At 37.8% G+C, this 21,861-nt stretch overlaps 1 protein-coding gene and 1 long non-coding RNA gene across 18 annotated transcripts in view, besides 1 other annotated feature; one reads left to right on the forward strand and one right to left on the reverse strand.

The window, feature by feature from the left end:
* The window catches only part of SPATS2L (spermatogenesis associated serine rich 2 like), a 176,386-nt gene that overhangs the window by 107,654 nt on the left and 46,871 nt on the right, over positions 1-21,861 (forward strand). For all 15 annotated transcript variants that reach the window (NM_015535.3, XM_024452788.2, NM_001282735.1 and 12 more), the window contains 2 exons: positions 2,847-2,896; positions 5,718-5,964. In NM_015535.3, the coding sequence (NP_056350.2) occupies positions 2,847-2,896; positions 5,718-5,964 (297 nt within the window). The remainder of the gene's footprint in view (positions 1-2,846; positions 2,897-5,717; positions 5,965-21,861) is intronic.
* The window catches only part of LOC101927741 (uncharacterized), an 81,319-nt gene that overhangs the window by 16,878 nt on the left and 42,580 nt on the right, over positions 1-21,861 (reverse strand). For 2 of the 3 annotated variants that reach the window (XR_001739167.2, XR_001739165.3), the window contains 4 exons: positions 17,973-18,005; positions 15,891-16,105; positions 10,832-10,949; positions 9,344-9,535 (listed from right to left, as the gene is read on the reverse strand). This is a non-coding gene — a long non-coding RNA (uncharacterized LOC101927741). Of the gene's footprint in view, positions 1-9,343; positions 9,536-10,831; positions 10,950-15,890; positions 16,106-17,972; positions 18,006-21,861 lie in introns of those variants that run through there. The other variant, XR_007088047.1, reaches the window with a different exon arrangement.
* Positions 10,253-10,302: an enhancer, noted in NCBI's record as "active region_16958". NCBI's record gives its function as "activates an Ori minimal core promoter by ATAC-STARR-seq in GM12878 lymphoblastoid cells {active_cell/tissue: GM12878}" and the evidence as "EXISTENCE:reporter gene assay evidence [ECO:0000049][PMID:35858748]".

Here is a 21,861-nt window from a genome sequence, read left to right on the forward strand (position 1 = left end):
GGCATTAGTTTCTATTTTGTAAATATGGGCAAGCTACACATAATCTGTCAAATAAGGTCAAGGAAGACCTGCCAGCACATTTCTCAGTTGTATCCTATTTACAGTTTGTCAAGGACAGTTTGATTTACTTATTTTCCTAGGAGTAGAATAACCTTCTTGAGTTTCTAAAAGTATAATTGCATTTCAGGGCAAGGTCTTGGAACTAAGCAATATGCTCACATTCTGATATCAGCAGTCAAGGTTTAGGGTCCTAATTGAATTAGCAAATGATTATCATTCAGTAGACCTATAAGCAAATCCATGGTGCATAACTTTTCTCACTGTTTTTTCCTGCTTCATATACTAAGAGATACATAATTTTTAGTCACAAGAAGCAAATAGTAGAGAATGCAGTATTAATCTAACTTTGCAGCATTAGGTGCAGTTTGTCTCAAAAAATATTTGGAAATAAGCATATCCTGGATCAGATACAGTCTCTTTTCAGGTTTTACTTGCCAACATCACCTGCATGGAAAAAAAGCTTTAGGAAAGGGTAAAGGCTATTATCCCCATTCCTCCCTACCCCCACTTGGATTGAGGCCCCCCACGTTCCTCATCATGAAAGTTTTTATTGCAGAGTGATCTTGATCAGATGCACAGTAACTGATGGACTGTCATCAAATCTGTTTGTACTTAAACAGAGCACCTTGCTTGTCCTTCTTGAAATTTTCACCTTGTCAGTGTTGAGATCTCATTAATAAAGCTCATTGATTGCTGAGAAGCCTCATGAGAAGTCATTTTGGTTGGGGAGCAGTAGGAAAACTTGATTTAAAAATACTGGGTGCCAGGCAGGTTCCTCATACCTGTAACCCCAGCATACTGGGAGGTCAAGGCAGAAGGATTGCCAGGAGTTTGAGACCAGCCTGGACAACATGGCGAGACACTGTCTCTACAATTTTTTGTTTTTAATTAGTCTAGAGTGGTGACACATGCCTGTAGTCCCAGCTACTCTGGAGGCTGAGGCAGGAGGATTGATTGGACCCAGGAAGTCGAGGCTGCAGTGAGCCATGTTTGCACCACTGCACTCCAGCCTGGGCAACAGTGTGAGACCCCGTCTCCAAAAAGAAAAAAAAACCAAAACCATAAAAAAAGCCAAACAACTGACAGTCAAAAATATTTGTTAGGAGTCATTTATGAGGCATACAGAAAGCGCTCTGAGTGGCTGAAAAACTCCAAGCCGTTTCAGTATAATTAAAATTTAATAATAACAGTTTCAAAATCCTCTGTAAATATGGGTATTTCTTCTTCAAAATTAGTCCCTAAAGCTCATTGTCCAAATTACAAATAGAATGTATATCAAAACATGAAAATTAGAGGACTAATTGAATATGGCAGTTGTGAAAGCAATAAGCAACTCACCACCACTTTCTGATTAAAATGAACAGTATTTAGCATTTTTAAGTTTTAGTTTTATTTAGAAAACTGAAGCGTAGCTATAAGTAAGTACTGCCCTAATTATTATTAACCAAGACTTACCAAGAAACTTAACAAAAGGGACTTTCTAAATTTCTTCTAAAGGAAAATGCTGTGAAACATTAATTCTCTGGACAAATTAGAGAAAGACCAACCCAGTTAATAAAAAGTCTGAATTATAGCTTACTTTTAGGTGCAGTCTTATTATTTCAAGTACATGCAACTCAGACAAGTCTAAGAGGGGCGTTGAGTTGGAAACTTTAAATAGATAGGAATTATTAGCCTGTCTAAACATTAGTCAAAGCCATATGGCCTTCTGCTTATCTAACAGTGACAGTAGACTCAATAATTAGGACCCTACTAATTTGAAATTTATTATAAAGACCAGCCTGAAATTTATCTTTGTTTGGCCAACATACTCCTTTTAGAGAGCTATTAGTATATTTAGATTGTATGAGAATTTTTAAAATTGTTAAAAGAATATACTTAAAAGAGCTACTCTCTTTTAGAAATACTGTGCCTATTTATTTGAAAACAACTGATATCCTCATTACCAATAACTTGTTATTGAAACCACCTTCAGCACAGTGGGAATGAATGAATGAACTTTGTTAGACTATGGAGAAACATGGATTGCAGCTGGCCAGCGATAAAACATTTTTTTAATGTCTTGTAATTTAATTAGGCATTTAATTTATATATAATTTAATATAATTTGAATATAATTTAATTAGGTATCTTCTCTGAGTCAGTGCAGTTCTACCGATATATGTGAATGGGATGGACAGAACCTGGGGCCCAACTTTTCACTTAATGAACTTTTTTTGGTTTCAAGGTAGAAGCCTTGTAGACCACATCCCATCTCTATCCATGCTAACTCTAGAGAAACTAATATCATTGTAATATGTCTTCCTCATCCCCCTGCAAGATGTGAACATATGAATAGGGACAGAGAAAGAGAAAGAATGGCCAAACAGAAAGCTGTGATTCACATTGTTAATAATATTCAGAATCCCATATTTGGTTCAGAAGATTATAGGTATTTTTATTCATATATCAAACAGAATAATTTTAATTCTACTTATGGCAACAAAGCTGCTAGAAAATTCTCAAGATATATTTCATTTTCCGTACGACAATATAATGATAAAAAAGTAAGCTTCATGTAGTGAGGCTTAATATTTTGATAAAACCAAGATCATACAGTGAATTAAATGAAAATCTGGGAAATAAAAAATGAAACTGGCATTTTTATTAAGATAGGATGTATCAAAACAAATGAAAAAGCCAAAAAAAAAAAAAAAAAGCTGCTACCAAGATGGAAAGACAGAGATGAATTTTGTGTGGTGTTTTATGATGTGAATATTTGTTGAAGATTCTTTGTCTTTATCTAGGCAGTGCAATTCAAGTTCTAAAAGAATGGAATATGACAGGAAAAAAGAAGGTAAGATTAATATTGATTGTAAATTGGTAACATCTTCAATCAAAACCTTCATGGTTGTTATCATTTTAACAAGGCTGCCAATTTTTTGCTTCTTTCAAGTATGTTAATATATACACCCAGAAAGCTTCCAAATTCATGACTCTCGGAAATTAGCAGATACTCTCAGATACTCTCACTAGTAATGCCCTTATTTTCTACTCAGTGTTTTTAACAACCAGGTGTGCTTAAGAAGTCCCAGAGTTGTTCTCTTTTTTAAGTATAAAGGGGAGCCCAGCTGGAGAATTCAAAGGATTCAAAACATTAACTTGCCTGAACGTATCCTGTAGCACAAAGAAAAAAATTAAGGAGTATTTTAAAGATACTTGAAAACTTCTAAATATATTTTCACATGTTTTTCCACCTGAAAGAATCTGTCCAAGGCTGCCCTGAGATGCTTTTTGGCCGAATTCTAAGGTAGATCATTAATAAAAGAAGAAGAAAAGAAAATGCCTTAGAACCATAGTAAGTAAGGGGCTTTCTTGAACACTGGCGTACTGCTCTTTGAGAACAAAGGGAAGGGGATTTTACTGTGTCCCATTCAAACTGGTTTGCTTTCTTGTCGAGTCACAAAGGGCCTGGGATTTCTGGGAGCTCGTGAGATGCGTCTGTGCATACACACTAGCAAAAGTGTGCCGCTCCTTTCAAAGTAACTGTTCCACTCATTCCTGCTATGACACAGCAAGGCCTTGTGTTTCGGATTTCCCAGGATATAGTACGCCAGTCTACCCTTCCCAGTGGGGGAAGATCACAGGCCTGCAAAACAGGTTCTGAACAAACAATAACACAGTATTACTTTCATAAAACCCGAAGATTACTGAAATTACAGGAATCATCCTTTCCGTTTTTCTCCTCCTAGTTTCATGTAGAGTAGGAAAATTATGAGTTTTTTTTTTAACCTTTGTATGCCACCATCTTTGACAATCTCTGCTTGTCTTTAATCATAGCTTCCCAGGCCTCTGTGTGAGATGAACATGATTTGCAAGTGATTGAAAGGCAGTATTTAGACTTACATAGAAAAATTTCAAATGTGTGGTTTGGGTATTAGATTTTTCTGATGTGAAAAAAAGAGCAGACAGCAGCTGCAGACCCAACTCATTACTGAGTCTTCCTCCTGGAGGTTGAAAAGGAAAATGGTCTCCCAGCCAAGTAGATGTGAGGCTTGAGAGCCAGAAGCTGCTGTGGGTGTTTTGTGGGAATAAGTGCCACTGGCCTTGCCTTCAACCTGGGACACACACCTCTCACCTAGGAAAGCACTTACTGGGGCATGATTGTGGTTCCAAAGGAAAAAAGCAGGGAGGAGAATTGAGAAGAAAAAACTGTTTATTTTTACTTCTTTTGTAAATGTGTTGAAGAACGAAGCCACGCTGATGTTCAGCTGGCACGCACTCATTCAGCAGGTGGGACAGGGTCTTTCTTATGGGTCGGCGTCTGTTCTGATTGGCCGGGGCTGGTACCATACTGCTTGTTGAGTACACTGAGTATCAACTGGGTACAAAGCAACATCAAGTCAAACATATAACATAATTAGGAACAACAGCTTCTTAATTTTCTTGATATTCTCATGTATTCACCATTAGAGCATTTTAAGAGAGATATAGTAAAACTCCGCATTTTAGACTCTTGTGATATTGGGGGGTCTAAACAATTTCAATTGTATAAAATGCAGGGTGGTTTTATTTCAAAGGAAATAAAATGAAGCCTTGTAATGCTGTTCAGCTAGCAGCCGAGAGGTCCAGGGGCTTTCTCACCGGAAAAGGGGGACTTATATCACTTTGGCATTACCTTGAAGCTGTTGTCTGCTCCAGCTGAAATATTCATGGGATGGCAGGGCGCAGTGGCTTGTGCCTGTAATCTCAGCACTTTGGGAGGCAGAGGCAAGAGAATCACTTGAGCCCAGAAGTTTGAGACCAGCTTGAGCAACATAGGGAGACCCTGTATCTACAAAACATTTTAAAAAATAGCTGCATGTGGTGGTGCATGCCTGTAGTAACAGCTACTCAGAAGGCTGAGGTGGGAGGATCGCTTATGCCCAGGGGGTTGAAGCTGCAGTGAGCTGTGATCACACAACTGCATTCCAGCCTGGGCGACAGAGCCAGAGTGAGACCTTATTAAATAATAAATAAATAAATAAATAAATAAATAAATAAATAATCATGGGGATGATTATGGATCCTGTGGCTACCTGGGACTTCCTAGACAATGACAGCAATTCCAGGAATCTCCTTGTTGACTGGTTTCTATTTCAGAGACCCAACCTGAATTTTAAGGACCTACCTTCTGTGTCCTCATTTTACAAGAAGAAGTTGCCTGCCTTTTCCCTAGTAGTCCTCCCCTTTACCTCTCCTTCTGCCGAGCAGATGGGAACCTTAGTGGCCTCCTTGCCTCCCCAGCATTCACCACTTTGAGATGAGAGCTACTCCCCAGTGGCAGGATAACTGAAATCAAATTTTTTCAGGATGGTTATCACCAGATTTTACTATAGAACCTCAAGTTGCTCAAATAATATGTCAGCTATTTAAGCCATTCCTTGTTGTTTTTTTCTTCCTTTTATTGGAACCTTTTTTATTGTGTTTATGAGGTGAAAGTTTATACAACTTACTATAAGAAAGAAGATACTTAAATTAACTTGGGTGGTTAATAAAGATGTAAATATTCTTCATCCAGTCTATAAGAAGAGCCAGGAACCAAAAAAGATAGCATATCTTATTTTCATCTCTCAGATTCACCTTATATTTCAAGAGTCTGAGTTGAATATTATGTTCTCATTTGTTTCTCATTCTAGAACAATAAAAGAAAAAGAAGCAAGTCCAAGCAGCATCAAGGCAACAAAGATGCTAAAGACAAGGTGGAGAGGCCTGAGGCAGGGCCCCTGCAGCCGCAGCCACCACAGATTCAAAACGGCCCCATGAATGGCTGCGAGAAGGACAGCTCGTCCACAGATTCTGCTAACGAAAAACCAGCCCTTATCCCTCGTGAGAAAAAGATCTCGATACTTGAGGAACCTTCAAAGGCACTTCGTGGGGTCACAGGTCAGTAATGCTTAAGTAAAATTGCTTAGGAAGGCATAGATGAAAAGAGCACAAAGGGAGCTCATTGGGGCTGCTGTTGATGTTGTTGAAAATGGAAGGTTGTTTTTCTGCAGTGTGTACGATTCAGCCTTCCTGAAGCCAGGATTGGGGGTGAAGGGGAATGTAACAGGGCAGAGAATAAATGCTCAATCTAGCTCTACACCAAGTCAGAGGATTTTTTTTTTTTTTTTTTTGAGTCTGGGTCTTGCTGTGCAAGGCTAGAGTGCAGTGGTGTGGTCATAGCTCACTGCAGCTGCAGTCTTGAACTCCTGGACTCAAGCAATCCTGCCTTGGCATCCCAAAGTGCTGGGATTACAGACATGAGCCACCACACTTAGCCAGTCAGAGGTCTTTTTTAATGGAAATTCCAGTTTAAAGAAATATTCTATATAGACACATTTGCTAGAATTCACCTGGGGTAATGAAGGAATAGTTGATGACAAAAAGAAATGTTATTCAATGTTTTCTTTAGAAAGGGCAGACCAAATTATTTTAACTGCTGGTATTTTTTATATGATGTGACAGAACATAATCTTCCAGGGTGTTAGAATCTGGAACATTAATTATTTGTGCTATAGCTATATATTTATTACTCTTCAAAAGGCCACTTCCTAATCCACTGTTTGACTTTGGGCACATCATCTACTCTAGGGTCCCATTTCCTTTCTGAAAAATAAGGAAACTGCATTGGAATCTACTAGATCAGTGCTTCTCAATACTATCTGACCCAATGCCCCATTTTTAGAACAAATGTTAAAATAAATCTCATGCATAATATAACCTACCTAGAAACAGAATTTCAATAAATAAAAATATAAGACATTCAGGAAAAACTAAAATAGAAGGCTCAATAAAGAGGCCAGATTTTTACACCCACTTATAATGAATCACTTTGCAATTAAATGAAGTAAGGCAGTAGTCAGCTGGATATTGTGGATACTGTTTTACATTTGACATGTACAGTAAGAGCTCAATACGTATATTTGTATATAACATGGAATCACTGTGAATGCACCTGCTACAAATGCAGTCCAATTTAGGGTAATGGGTGTCAGCTCTAATATCATGGCTGCTGATGTGGTTTTCCACATGGCCAAAAATTCTTAGTCAAGTTCTAAACATCATAAAGTACCATCTTCCTTTAATTTATGCAATAGTTGAATCTTGGAAATCCAAACAAATGTTGTAAATCCGTAGTAAAACTGTCTAGACTCACATAATTATATATATATTTTTTTAAAATCATGAATGTCCAGGGGAACATGAGAAAGTTCAGGACACAGATTAATTCTTTGTTGTGTATGACATTCCCAGGATTGCAAGTCATCTAGCATCCTGCCCCCCAACCCCACCGCCAACACACACACACACAATCATTTTGCTAATTTTTAAAAATGCCCGCTCAGTTTTTCAGAATGCCTCCTAAAAGGTGGTAGATCCTTTGATGAGAATCACTACACTAGTTGACCCCCAAAGTCCTTCTAGTTATAAAATCATGAGTTTGTAGAATCAGTGGCGTTTTAAACTCCCGTTATATTCAGAGCACTGTGCTAGATGCCACAGTAGATTCAGAGAAGGATATGATATGGTCTAGGCCCTGATGGAATCACATTCTGATATCCTTGAAGAGAAGGCTATAGGTTCACTGGTGAGTTTAAGGTTTGGGGAAGAGAGGTGCAGTATCCGACTGAGTGCTCCTGGGAGATTTCCTGGGAGCATTGGGTATTGAAGGACCAATAGAACTGAGGTGGTAAAAAGGATTTGGAGGGTTAGAGAGAAGTAAAGAGAACTTTACTGAGTGCCCTCAGGTATTGCACACCTGCTATATATGACACACTGCTATTCTCTGACAAACCAAAGATGAGTAAGACACATCCATGCCTAAGAAAAGTTTAGACTACCAGAAGAGATGGAGGTGCAAACAGAAAAGCAAATGGTGACATGTACCAAATCAGGGTGGCAGTGAGAAGGCATTAAATAACTGGCACACTCTGTAATACACTAGTAAGTTCTTAAATTGCTCACAAAGCACAAATTTTCTTCCAGAAACACATTTCCTAACAACTCCACTAATAGTGCTGAAACTCATGTCATCCTTACTCACTTCATGATGGTTTCCTAAAACCGAACAATGACAACAACAAAAATAACCTATTTCATTTTGAATCTGAATTCTCCAGAAATTTTTTTAATTCAATTTTCACTGTGCCTACAATTTTGAGACTGTTTTGATTTATAGTCAGAGCAAGAGAAAGAAATTAAATAATCGAGTGGCAGATTCCCAACTTGTTATTGCTTTCACATGAATTACTTTCAAAATCCAATTACTCAAGTTGCCATTTTGATATCAATCATAGACTAAAAGCTTAGCATATATATTTTTTCATTTACTTATAATTTATACCTTCTTTATAAAACAATGTCAGTAACTCTGTCAAGTATATGACATTAAAGCAAATGCAATATAGAAGTGCCTCCCTTCCCAGTGGACAGCTGCCTTGAAAGTTAAGTACCCACCAGGGGAATGGGTACAAGGGGGCTTTTGGAAACCCTCACATGAAACTTTCTGTGAAGAATTATTTCTTGCACAGTGATCCCATTCTCCCTTCTGTTTTTTAAGTATAGCATGAAGGCATTGAGGTGTGTTGGTATTATTTGTTAATGTTACTGATTCATTACAAATGTCTGTGCAATAAATTTTTCTGTTAAAGAGTAAATGAGCCAGGCTTGGTGACTCACACTTGTCATCCCAGCGCTTTGGGAGGCTGAGGCGGGAGGATTGTTTGAGCCCAGCAGTCCAAGACCAGCCTGGGCAACATGGCAAAACCCCATCTCTACAAATAATACAAAAATTAGCTGGGCCTGGTGGTGCATGCCTGTACTCCCAGCTACCTGGGAGGCTGAGGTGGGAGAATCACCTGAGCCCAGGAGGTTGAGGCTTCAGTGAACTGTGATCGTGCCACTGCACTCCAGCCTGGACAGCAGAGTGAGTAAGACTCCTCAAAAAAAAAAAAAAAGGGGGAGGAAGAAGAAATGATGGTAATGGAAGGTTAGTAGATGTTCTTGCAAAAGGAAGCAAATTCTCCTTATTGGCCCTTAATTTCGTTAGCAGCCCATTTGTTATGATTATAAATTTTAAAATGAGTTTTTAGCTATAGTAATCTGCCCTTTTCCTTGGAAGATAGGTTCCAGGACCCCTAGTGGATGCCTGAAATCACGTACACTGTTTTTTTCCTGTACTATACTATACTATGCTAAAGTTTAATTTATAAATTAGGCACAATAAGAGATTAAAAATAACCAATAATAAATAGAACAATTATAGCAATATACTGGCCTCTTTCTTGCTCTCTCTCTCTCAAAATATCTTATTGCACTATAAACATCCTTACTGTGATGATGTGAGATGATAAAATGCCTGCATGATGAGATGCGATGACACTCACTCTGATCACCAAGACAGCCACTAAAGTGACGAGTGGGCAGGTATCGTATATGGCATGGATACTCTGGACGAAGGCATGACCACATCCTGGGTAGGACAGAGTGAGATGGCACAAGATTTCATCACATTACTCAGAACAGTATGAAACTGAAAACTTAATGAGTTGTTTATTTCTGGAATTTTCTGTTTGCTATGTTTGGACCGCAGTTGACCATGGGTTACTGAAACTGTGAATATGGGAGGACTATTGTAGTTAGATTTTCCTGCCTTCAAATTATGAAGGTTCATCAGAAAGTTGATGGCAAAACTATCTAATGGCTTTAAAATGCTTGCTCAATCTACTGGCAATCGCAAGAGCTCTAACAGGTATTCTGCAGATGAGTGTTAAGCTGTAGACACTCTGTACCCCATTTTGAGTAGAATGTTGGAACTAGAGAGGATGAGAGTGAAACTTTAATCCTGGCTCCCCACTTTATAACTGAAGAAACCAAGGCTCCTGGATTGAGAAGTTCAGAGGATAACCCTCTTGAACTCTCTGTAGTTTGCAAAAGGCTGACTCAAATCCATGTAATTTTATCAGGTAATGGAGAGTTACTGCTAAAACCATGGGTTACCTAACTCCTAAAAAAAAATGTGTAATTGAAAAATTAGAAAAAAGTCACAATAACAAAGCCACATAATGATATTCTGTGCTTGAGTGAGTTCACAGCATAAGCCTAAAAGAAATCGCCAGGCTACTATAGTGGAGCATTTATCAAGCCCTCCAATAATGAAACTAGCTCAACAAAGCCTGCCCTGAATGCCCCACTGGGCAGGAGGCTGTGAACATGTGGGATGCGTGTTTTATCTTTTTATAACACCTTGACATTCAGGATCTCTCTTTTTAAAAGTCTTAAACAGAATCATTTTTTGGTAGGGGAAAAGTTAGCTTTAAGATATATGCAGGTGGCTCAGGGGTGTTAGTGTGACTTCCTACATGAAAAATCACCACCAAAAGCATCATCATTTCAGGCTGTAAATATAGCACTGTCAAGTGGGACAATGCTGTGTGTCAGCAGATCGTTTAGAAGTTTAGGAGTATGTTTTAAGCCTGAGAGTAGTTTTTTTCTGTATCTCAGAATTTTTAATAACAGCTCAAATTGGATCTTTTACATAATCCAATCAAAATCATCCTGGGCTCAAATACAAAATCAGGCAAAGAGTAGATCAAGATTTATTTTTGCCGAGCGGGCACAGTGGCTCACACCTGTAATCCCAGCACTTTCAGAGGCTGAGGTGGGAAGATTACTTGAGGCCAGGAGTTTGAGACCAGCCTGGGCAACATAGCGAGCTCTTATCTCTTTAAAAAAAAAAGAAAAATTAGCTTGGTACGGTGGCTCATACCTGTAGTCCCAGCTGCTTGGGAGGTTGAGGTGGGAAAATCCTTTGAGCCCAGGAGTTTGAGGCTGCAGTGAGCTATGATTGTGCCACTGCACTCTAGCCTGGGGTACAGGGCAAATCCCTATCACAAAAACAAAAACAAACAAACAAAATTATTTTACTAAAAGTAGTGCCAAGGATAATACTTTTTTCTAAGACCCTATCTAAATGTCTAAAGCACATGTTGACCTTAGGGTCTAATTTTCCCAAATGTTCCTCCTGCCCTATGCTTCCTGAGGCTCATAAGCTAAAATGTATAGCATTTACTTGTCTCCACTTAGGCCAGAATAGGAATTCAGATTCCTCTCTTGTCTTTACCCCACTGGACACAATTCCCATTGAATAGGAATTCCAGGAGCAGGACTGTGGGCCATCAGCAGCTTCCCAGAGATAAACTGGGGCAGGGCTTTCCCTCTCTTGAGCTCCTGTTGCTGACCCAGCAGCCGGCCTTTATGTTGCCTCCTCGTGTAAAGCATCCTGGGAAACCAAGTCTTCGGTCCCTGTTCCTTGGAACAGAAGGCTCCATGCCATGCTTGCTGACCTTCACGAGCTGGACTGTACAGCCTGCCCTGTACCACAAAGCAGGAACAGCCCTGTCGTTTTTACCTTAGCAATGCAGATTCTGTGCTTGGGCGCAGCACCTGCGCAGAGCTGCTTTCTCATCCTCAAGTGAACTGAACCAAATGTGAGAGAAAGGCTCCTGTGCCTTTAGAATGTTAGTTCCCCCCGCCCCCCCCCCCCCCCGCCATTTGTGCTTCCTGTAACAAACAACAACAAAAACACCTCACCACCATTTCACAGTATCATTGTGGTAGGCGGTTCCCCACAGGTTGTTCAAGCAGATTTTTTTATGTTGCTGTTGGTCCTGGCCTCAAGATTACCTCCCCTGCTTCTCTAAGCCCTATATTGGACAGAGGATTAGCAAAGATCAACAAAAAGAAAGCAGCCAGCTTAGAACTTTAATAGTAAAAGTCAAATGTGTGTATCTAGGATTTCAGCGGTGCCAGCTCTCAAATGGAAGCAATACAATATCACAGCTAAGAACCCGGGCTTTAGCGTTAGACATGTTTGGTTTCAAATCTTGGCCTCATCACTTATGAGGTGTGTGACCCTGGACAGGTTAACCACTCTGCATCTCACTTTCCTCATCTGCAAAATAAAGAACATTCGTCCACTTTACAATATTGTGGTGAGCAGTAAATGAGATATATAAAGTGATTAGCTCAGCATCTGGAATCGGGTAAACCCTCTTATCATTCATTTATCCATTGAGTAAATATTTTTAATCATCCAACATGTGTCAGGAATTCTTCTACAGGAAGCGGACAAGACAACAAAGGTTTTGCTCTTGGGGAGTTTACGTTCTTTGGGGTCGCGGGGGATGGGGAGAAGAGGTAGATAATAAACCAGAATACAACTGAGTTACCAACATAATTCTAGAGTGTAATAAATGTTATAAAGGCAGCATGTAGAAGGGCAGCTGGAGAGTGCGTGTATGCAGCAATTCCATAGAAGGTCCCACTGTGACGTAAGTGTCTGGAGACATTGAAGCTAAGATCCCAGTGCTTCAATTCAGGCTCTCTCATGCCAACTTACAGTGGTCTGAACAGCCAGTGTTTTATCTAAACTTTTATTAAGTACCTTAGCTGAAGCCCTTATAGAATTATAACCATAGGTTTTTACTTTTTTTTTTTTTTTTTTTTTTTTTTGAGATGGAGTCTCACTGTGTTACCCAGGCTGGAGTGCAGTGGCGCGATCTCAGCTCACTGCAACCTCCATCTCCTGGGTTCAAGCGATTCTCCTGCCTCAGCCTCCCAAGTAGCTGGGACTACAGGCGCATGCCACCATACCCAGCTAATATTTTGTGCTTTGAGTAGAGATGGGGTTTCACTGTGTTAGCCAGGATGGTCTCAATCTCCTGACCTTGTGATCTGCCCACCTCGGCCTTTACTATTTTTTGTTATTAAAGATCTAATACTCTATTAACATATATATAACTGATGTTAAGTACTATCATATGAGCATGCATTTTTGAAGTTTATATTTTGGTCAGGCACAGTGGCTCATGCCTATAATCCCAGCACTTTGGGAGGCCAAGGCAGGAGGATCACTTGAGCCCAGGAATTCAAGACCAGGCTGGGCAACATTGTGAGAGTTGGCTCTAAAAAAACTTAAAAATTAGCAGGGTGTGGTGGCCCATGCCTATACTCCCAGCTACTTGTGGGGCTGAGGTGAGAGGATCACTTGAGCCCAGGAGGTCAAGGCTGCAGTAAGCCATGATCACACCACTGTACCCCAGCCTGCGCAATGAAGCAAGACCCCGCCTCAAAAAATAAAAATAAAGTTTATATTTTAAAGCACATAATTACTATTCTCATTCATCTTTAATTTAAATACTTGGTATTAATTCCCATTTACAGTTGTGTTTTTCTCAGTCTCAACCTCAGCTTCAAGTAACTTGGTATCTTAGATTGCATTTGCAGTGACTTAGAGCTCTGCTTCCTTTCTTTATGTATGATAAAGCAGAAAGAGACAGACACAGGATGTAGTGATAGGAGGGCACAGGAAACATAAAACCCCTCAGGTATTTTTCGGTCACCTGGGCTCTCTTCTCTTTCTCATTCAAGAGTGTTTTTGCTGCAACTGTACAGCAAAAACACAAAACTACTCATCTCTGAATAGCTGATACCTTTATAACTTCCCACCCACTCCTTGTTATGGTGATTTCAGTTACAAATGGACTTAATTAAATGGAATGTACCACTTACAAAGATCAAAAGGCTTTCAAAAATTTTTCTTAAGATTTTTGAACAAAGATTTAACTGTTTCTATTAAAATGCAATAAGATGGAAACTCTGTTTCCTCTGATGTGATTATTATGCATTGTATACCTATATCAAAATATCTCAAGCACCCCATAAATATATAAACCTACTATGTACCCACAAAAATTAAAAATTAAAAACTTTTTTTTAATGCAATAAGAATTAAACCTGTTTTGCAGAGAAATAAGACAGTGGAAAAAATCAAGTTATACATATACATATATATTACATACATATACATATATAACATGCATATACATATATAAAATATACATGTATTATTATATATAATAATATACATATATATTAAACCTATTAAGGTATTAATGACATATAAGATCTTGTAAAGACAGTGAATGTAAATAAAACTAAAGATGTTATTCCAGTCAGAAAGTTACCACCTTTATGCCCTCTGAGCTCATCAAGCTTCATAGGATTTGAATGAAATAATAAAGTATATCTGTATTTGATAAAGACATTATGAGAAGGCAGAACTGACATTGTGTCTGCTGCATAAACCTGTCTATTTTGGTCTCTGTTCCAAAGTTATTGTTTCCCCAAATTTTTGTTTATTACCCTGTCATGTAAAGATAGAAGAATGATGAAACTTGCAAATCAAAGTATATAATAATTATGAGAGAATGGTTTTCTTAGCCTGGGCAACATGGCAAACCCCATCTCTACAAAAAATACAAAAATTAGCTGAGCAGGGTAGCAAATGCCTGTAGTCCCAGCTGCTTGGGAGGCTGAGGTGGGAGGATCACTTGAGCTGGGGGTCGAGGCCACAGTGAGCCGTGATCACACCATTGCACTCCAGCCTGGGTGACAGCGAGACCGTGTCTCAAAAACAAAAAAAAAAAGGAGTTTTCTTGAGGCTTCATCACTAGACCATTATTCTGTAACATCTTCAGAGAGTTACCTTTACTCCCTGTCTCCACTCTTCACCTCCCTCTCACTCATCACCTCATTGTTACGGCTTTCAGCCCCATCTCTCCAAATAAACTGCTCTAGGTAAGCTGTTATAGGTAAGTTTAGCAATGGCCTCCATATTATTGAATCTAGCCATTGTTTTTTAATCTTTATTTTTTCCCTTTAGCAGTATTCAGCATTGTTAACCACCCTATCCTTAACTCTATCGTTTCCCTGTGGTTTCTATGACATGACACTCTCCTGATTGTGTCCCTCTGTCTTTACTGCTTCCTCTCTGTTCCCTTTGGAGGTCATTCTTCCTTACCTGGCTGTTAAATTGCTGAAGCTCCCTAGGGCTTGTTTGATCTCAGGTCCTTCATCATATAAAGCTACACACTGTCCTTAGATTATTTCAGCCATACTCTAGCTTTAATTATGTAAGATGACTCACAAACTCATCTTCCTAGTTCTGGCTACACTCTGAACTCCAGACTCTTCTTTGACTTTTTCACCTTGATATTTCAAAGCACTTCAACAACATGCTCAAAACAAACTCATCATCTCCCTTCCCAGTCGTGGCTCTCTTTTAGTGTTCCCGATCCTAGTGCACCACCTATCCAATTGTGCAAACCAGAAATCTAGTCATCAGTCATGACATCTCCCTCTTTCTCACTCCCCATTTCCAGTCTATCCCCATTTCCTGTTGGTTTTCATTTCCATGTATTTCTAGAATTCATTCATTGCTGTCTCTTCCCCTGCCTTCCCACCAAAACTACCATCCTCACTTGCCTGCACTGCAGCAATAGTCCACTCATTAATCTCCTAGCACTTACCCTTGTTCCTTTGTAAATCATTCTCTATCCTGTAATCTTTTCAAAACACAAATCTGACCTCTTACGATAAAGACAAGAAGACTTACCCTGTCCTGCAAGCCCAGCATAGTCTGGCCCCTGTGTCCCACTCCACCCTCCTTGCATGGCACATTCGTTCTTGCCCTCTCTACTTTAGCTATGCTGGTCTCTGTTTGGGCCCTCATACTGGCCATGTGTATCAGTCAAGATCAAGTCAGGAGATAAGAACCATACTGGTTATTTGAATAGGAGAAATGTAATGTAAAGCATTGTTAATTAAAACAGTAGGAGGTTACTAACTACTAGAAGGGGTAAAAGAGGACCATAAGGTGTCCACATTTAGCATGAGAGCAGTTACTATATCTGTACTGAAGAAAATGAGACAATAAAGGAACTAAGGCCTAGGGGAGGCCCCCAAGCCAAGACTGAGATTCTGACCTGATCGAAGAAGGTGTGTGGCTACCAGAGGAACGTGCAGCCTTGTGGTGGTGAAGAAACTTGTCAAAGGGCACAGACTGAGCTCTTCTGTTAAGAGGCTGCCATTGCCAGAGGGTGTAGATGGATTGGAGCTGCTCAAAGCCACTGACAGTGGCGGGAGGTGGGGAATGGCACGAGGATGTAGGTTGGAGCTCCTCTGAATGGCTGCTGGGTTCCTGTGAATAATAATAATTAATAATAATAGAGATCCAGAACCCCAAAGAGAGATATACTCCTGTTCTTATGGCCTTGCAGGGTCACTTTATTGCCATCTGCTGACATCAAAAGTTAACATTCTACTAGCTGGCAAAAGAGAATTGCTTACAGGGTCCAGCTCCAGTATCACAAAGTAGGGCAAGAAGAGTAGATCTGGAGCCAAGAGACACTATAACTTGATAACTGGCACACAATGCTTTCTCCCCTACAAATGTAGTCACTGCTTGGAGTACAATTTCCCACTCTTTTCAACTAGTTATTTCATGTGATTTCAGATGAGATCATTCAGATCTCACCTTAGGTTTACTTCCTTGGGGAATTCTTTCTTGATATCCCCAGGTCAAATATGCCAGTTACAGATTTCAGAACACTATATGCTTTTCTTTCTTAACACCACAGTTGCAATCTTTCATTTGTTTGTATGGTGGTTTGATTTACACACCTTCCTATTAAAGTGCAAGTTCTGTGACGACAGAGACCACATCTGTCTTTCATTACCATTGTATTTCTGGGGCCTGGAACAAAGATGGGCACTCACACAATCCTTTCTCATTATCTCTATTGAATTATTAATGATAAAATACATGGAGAAGTGTAGGTTAATTAAATTTTTGTAAGTTGCTATGTTGCTTTTTAAAGATAATTAAATTTTTGTAAGTTGCTATGTTGCTTTTTAAAGATAATCATGGATTTTGTGTTTCTGGGTTTAAAAAGACTTTACACTAATTGAGGAAATTTGAAAATTCAGTAAGGTTTGAGGAAAAAAAAAAGGAAACAATCCTGCCCCCCAGAAACAACCACCGTTAAATTTTATTTCAGAATTTTTAAAATGCACAGATATGTAGATTTTTTTTAAATGATATTAAACGGCCTGTGAACCTTTGTATTCTGTTTTTTACTTAACGTGAGATTATGAACATTACTTCATATCATTAAATGTTCTTTAAAAACGTGATTTAAATATCTGCATTGCATGTTTATGAATGTGCCATATTTCTTTTAATTGTTCCCAAACTGTTGTCCGTGTGAATTGTTTCCTTTTTTTTTTTTTTTTTTTTGAGACAGAGTCTTGCTCTGTCACCCAGGCTAGAGTGCAGTGACATGATCTTGGCTCACCACAACCTCTGCCTCACAGGTTCAAGTGATTCTCGTGCCTCAGCTTCCCAAGTAGCTGGGATTACAGGCGCCTGCCACCACTTCCAGCCAATTTTTGTATTTTTAGTAGAGATGGAGTTTCGCCATTTTGGCCAGGCTGGTCTGGAACTCCTGACCTCAGGTGATCTGCCCACCTTGGCTTCCCAAAGTGCTGGGATTACAGGCATGAACCATCGCACCCGGCCTCCATTGTTTGGTTTTATAAAGAATATTATAGTGAACATCTCTTGTATATAGATTTGTGTGAACAACCATGATTATTTCCTTAGCATATATTCTTAGAAGTAGAATTATTGGGTTCAAAGGGTATGAATAGTTTTTAAGTTATTAATATATTACTGTCCGGAAAGGTTGTACTAATCTCATTGTTTTTACTTTTAAAACTGATTGGTAGAGGGATGGAACTTTTTAAGAAGTTTCTTTTCCATTTGTATTTTTTCTTTTGTAAATATTTAAGAACACAAAGATCAATTACCAAAGAACTACCAATTGTATTATCAGGTATCAAGTATCATAAAACACCATCACATTCACATAAGTACTTTTTAAAGAATGGTAACTTGCTTTAAGTAACATAGACATTAGCAATTTTAGACATAATTTTACAACAACAAAGTTATGCTTTGTTTCTTTATCAGTTTCTTCCAAATACAACTACTTTACAATACTTACTCAAGATCAGATGATGTGCTTTGCTGCAATTACCTGTGTATAGAAGACAATGAAACCATCTTAACTCAAAGGGTTAAAATAATTATTTTAGAACTATTCTATGTTTAATACATTCCTTACAGTTAGATTTGAATTCTTAAAGTTAGATTTGAATTCTTTCTTCAGTCTACTTATAAGTATATCAAGCTTTCACTAAAAAGTAAAAACTAAAGAGAAAACAATCTTTTTCAGAAACTTTCAAATTTGAATACACACATGGCTGTACATACATAATGAAAACTTTTGAATCCAAGTTTATATATTTCCCCCAAGAGGAGGGTTTGTTTTCTTTGGCACTGCTAACAAAAACAACCAGCACAATTCATTTATTGTATAAAATAAATTAAGCACAAGTAAAGTATATAAGTTGATACTAAGATTTAGTAACCAGTAAGTTGATAGTTTTCACTGTTGGCAAGAGTTAAATATGAAAACAATTGCAGGCACTGCAGCTGAGTGTAAATGGTACAACTTGACTGAAAAATAATTTGGCAAAGCATATCAAGAACTTTTCAAGAGAAAGAAAGGCATGAATTTGTATTGACTTCATAACAAATTCCCTTAAATTATAGTAAAGAAATTTTTAAATGTAGAAATCCACAATACTGAAAAAAATGAGAAAAGGGTATCAGTTTCTACAAGAAAGGAAGTAGATGGAAGGGGCTTTATTGATGAATCAGATGCTGCAGCATAGAATACAGAGGGAGGAGCTTTGGTGGGGAGGAAGATGATTGCCCTGCAGAAACTGGGGGAGCCCTGGGTTCAGAGTCAGCACATGGGATGGAAGGCAAGCTCAAGAAGAGGAGTATAAAGCAGAGGAATTAAATGAAGGTATTTTAAGGAACAGTGCACTATCCCCTTATCATCTCTTCCATCCCCCAACTTGTTCTTTTAGCTGCCTAACATTTATCCTCAAGGCAAAAAGGGAGGAAGAGAGTGGGCAGTGATCTGCAAGTACATTAGTCACCCGTTAGAACAAAAGTCAAAACCCTTTAAAGGAAAAGAAGAAGATCTAGAGTTTCTCAATGCATCATCCAAAATGGTCAGTGTCCAATTTTAAAAATTACTAGACATGGGAAGGAGCAGGAAAATGTGACCTATAATGAAGAGAAAGATTAGTCATTAAAAACAGACCCATTAACAACACAGAAGTTGGAATTAGCAGACAAGGATTGCTAATTAAAAATATGTTAAGAATTTTATGGAAAAAGAAGATGGATATATAATGGATGAAGAAAAAGAAAATTTAAGTCATCAGGTGTGCTTAGCAACAGTTCAGACGATGAAGAAGAAAGGATGAGTGAACTTAAAGACAAGTCAAAAGAAACTATGCCAACTGAAGAACAGAGAGAAAAAAAGTAAAAGAATAAAACAAAGCCAGAGCCTCAGTGACTTAAGGAACAGTATCAGGCAGTCTCACATAGGTGTAATTAGAGTCTCAGAAGGAGAGCAAAGAGGAAATTTGGCAGGGAGAAGGAGGAAGCTATGAAGAAATAATGGACACAGTTTATCCAAATTTGATGAAAAACAACAAGCCTCATATCCAAGGGTCATTTCATAGTAATATGTTGTTTGATTGATCAAAAAGATATAACACCTCTAAATGTATGTGCATCTAATGATTCCAGATCCATGAAGCAGCAATATATAGAACTAAAGAAAGCGACAAATCCAAATCCACAGCAGTGTAGATCTTAATATCAGGTTCTTAGTAACTGATAGAACATATAGATTAAAAATCAGTAAGAACATAGACGATTTGAACAATACTATCAACCAACTTGAGCCAATTGATATTTAAAGGACAACACACCCAACAATTTCAAGAGAACATGGCATTTACATTAAAATAGGCCAGTTGCTGGACCATAAAATTAGTTTCAAATTTTAAAACACCATCTTAAGAGTATGGTGTCTGAACACAGTAGAATTGAATTAACAATAGCAATAAGATAACTAGAAAATCTCTGAACATTTAAAAATTAATCAATCTTCTAAACAATCCATTAGCCAAAAAGAAAATTTCACAAGAGATATGAGAAAAATTTTGAACTGAATCATAATGAAAATATAATAAACCAATTTCCAATATCAGGGATAAAATTAACCCTGACTTCATTTATTTAAAAGCTAACAGGATGTTATAAACAACTTTATGCCAATAAATCCAACAACTTAAATGAAATGGACAAATTCTTTAAAAACACAACTTACCAAAACAGACAAGAAGAAATAGAAAATCTGAATAACACTATGCTTACCAAGGAAATTCATAATTAAAATTTCCAGGCCCAGATGACTTCCTTAGTGAATTCCCATGAACATTTGAGGAATAAATGTAATTGCAATCTTAAACAGTTTCAGAAAATAGAAAGAAGGAATACTTCCTAACTCATTTTATGAGGCCAGCATAACTCGTATCAAAACCTGACAAAGTCATTACAAGAAAAGAAAATTACAGAACAATATTGTTAATGAATAAAGAAGCAAAAATCCTCAACAAAACATTAACAAGTGAAGTAAACAATATATAAAAGGATAATACTGCATGACCAAGTGGGTGTGGTTAATAATTTCAGGAACTCAACATCAGTTTAACATTTAAAAAAATCAACATAATATTATTAATAAAATAAAGGAGAACAATAATATGATCATCTCAGTGTGTAAAATAAAAAATTCACTTGACAAAAACTGTCAGCAAAGAAGGAATACAAGAGAATTTTTAGAGTCTAATAAATACATGGAAACTCTACAGCTGTGTAATACTTGATAAAATACTGAATGCAGTTTCCCTAAGACCCAGAACAATGCAGGGATGCTCATTCTGCTTTGTAGCTAGGATTAATAAGACAAGGAACGATTGGAAAAGAAGAAGTTAGACTTCATTACCACTGTCATCATTGTGTTTGTAGAAAGAAAATCTTAAGAAATCTACAAAAAAAAATAAAGCTGCCAGAACTAATAAGGACATTAGCCAGGTCGCTAGATATAAGTTCAATATATTAAAAAGCATTTGTATTCCTGACATTTTGGAATTGAAATTTTTAAAAATGCTATAAACAATAACATAAAAATTCTAAAACACCTAGGAATAAATTTGACTGTAGATGCACAAGACTCTAAGAACTATAAAATGATGCTAAAGCAAATTAGAATTGAAATAAATGGCATAGTATGTCATGTCGAGGGTCAAAAGACTCAGTATTGTTAAGATACCGCATATCCCCAAATTGCTTTATAGATTCAACACAAGTCCAATGAAAATCTCATCATATTTTTTGTTGAAATAGGCAAATTGATTCTTAAATTTATATTAAAATGCAAAGGACCTAAGATAGTCAAAACAATCTTGAAAAAGAGGAGTAAAGCAGTTACAGTAACTAGGACAGTGTAATGGTGGTGTGAGAACTGGCAGCTAGATCGGTGGAATAGAATACAGTCCAGAAATAGTCACGCATATAGTCAGTTAATGTTTATCAGAGGTACCAAGACAATTCAATGGGAAAGTTCAATTCAGATTTACTCTGGTATCCTCTTCCATTATTTTTTCACATTTTACATACTAGTTATTAAGGTCAGTCTATTTCTCATTTATTGCCTATTAATAAACCAGAGCTGATACACTGTGCACTCTCCATATGTGTCTGTTGAATCCTTGAATCAGAAACCAACGTGATACTCAGGACATTATATACCATTTGTGTGTATATACAAAATTGGGATTTGGTAAGTGTTTTCAATAAAAGGAATGCTCACGTAATAGTTAAATTCAAAGACACAAACTTCTAGGAGCCATTTTTAGATACATGGACAAGGATTAAATTAAAATGTATACAATTTTTATTGA

Source organism: Homo sapiens, chromosome 2 (genome assembly GCF_000001405.40).
Source record: "Homo sapiens chromosome 2, GRCh38.p14 Primary Assembly".
In the NCBI taxonomy this organism is placed as follows: Eukaryota; Metazoa; Chordata; class Mammalia; order Primates; family Hominidae; genus Homo; species Homo sapiens.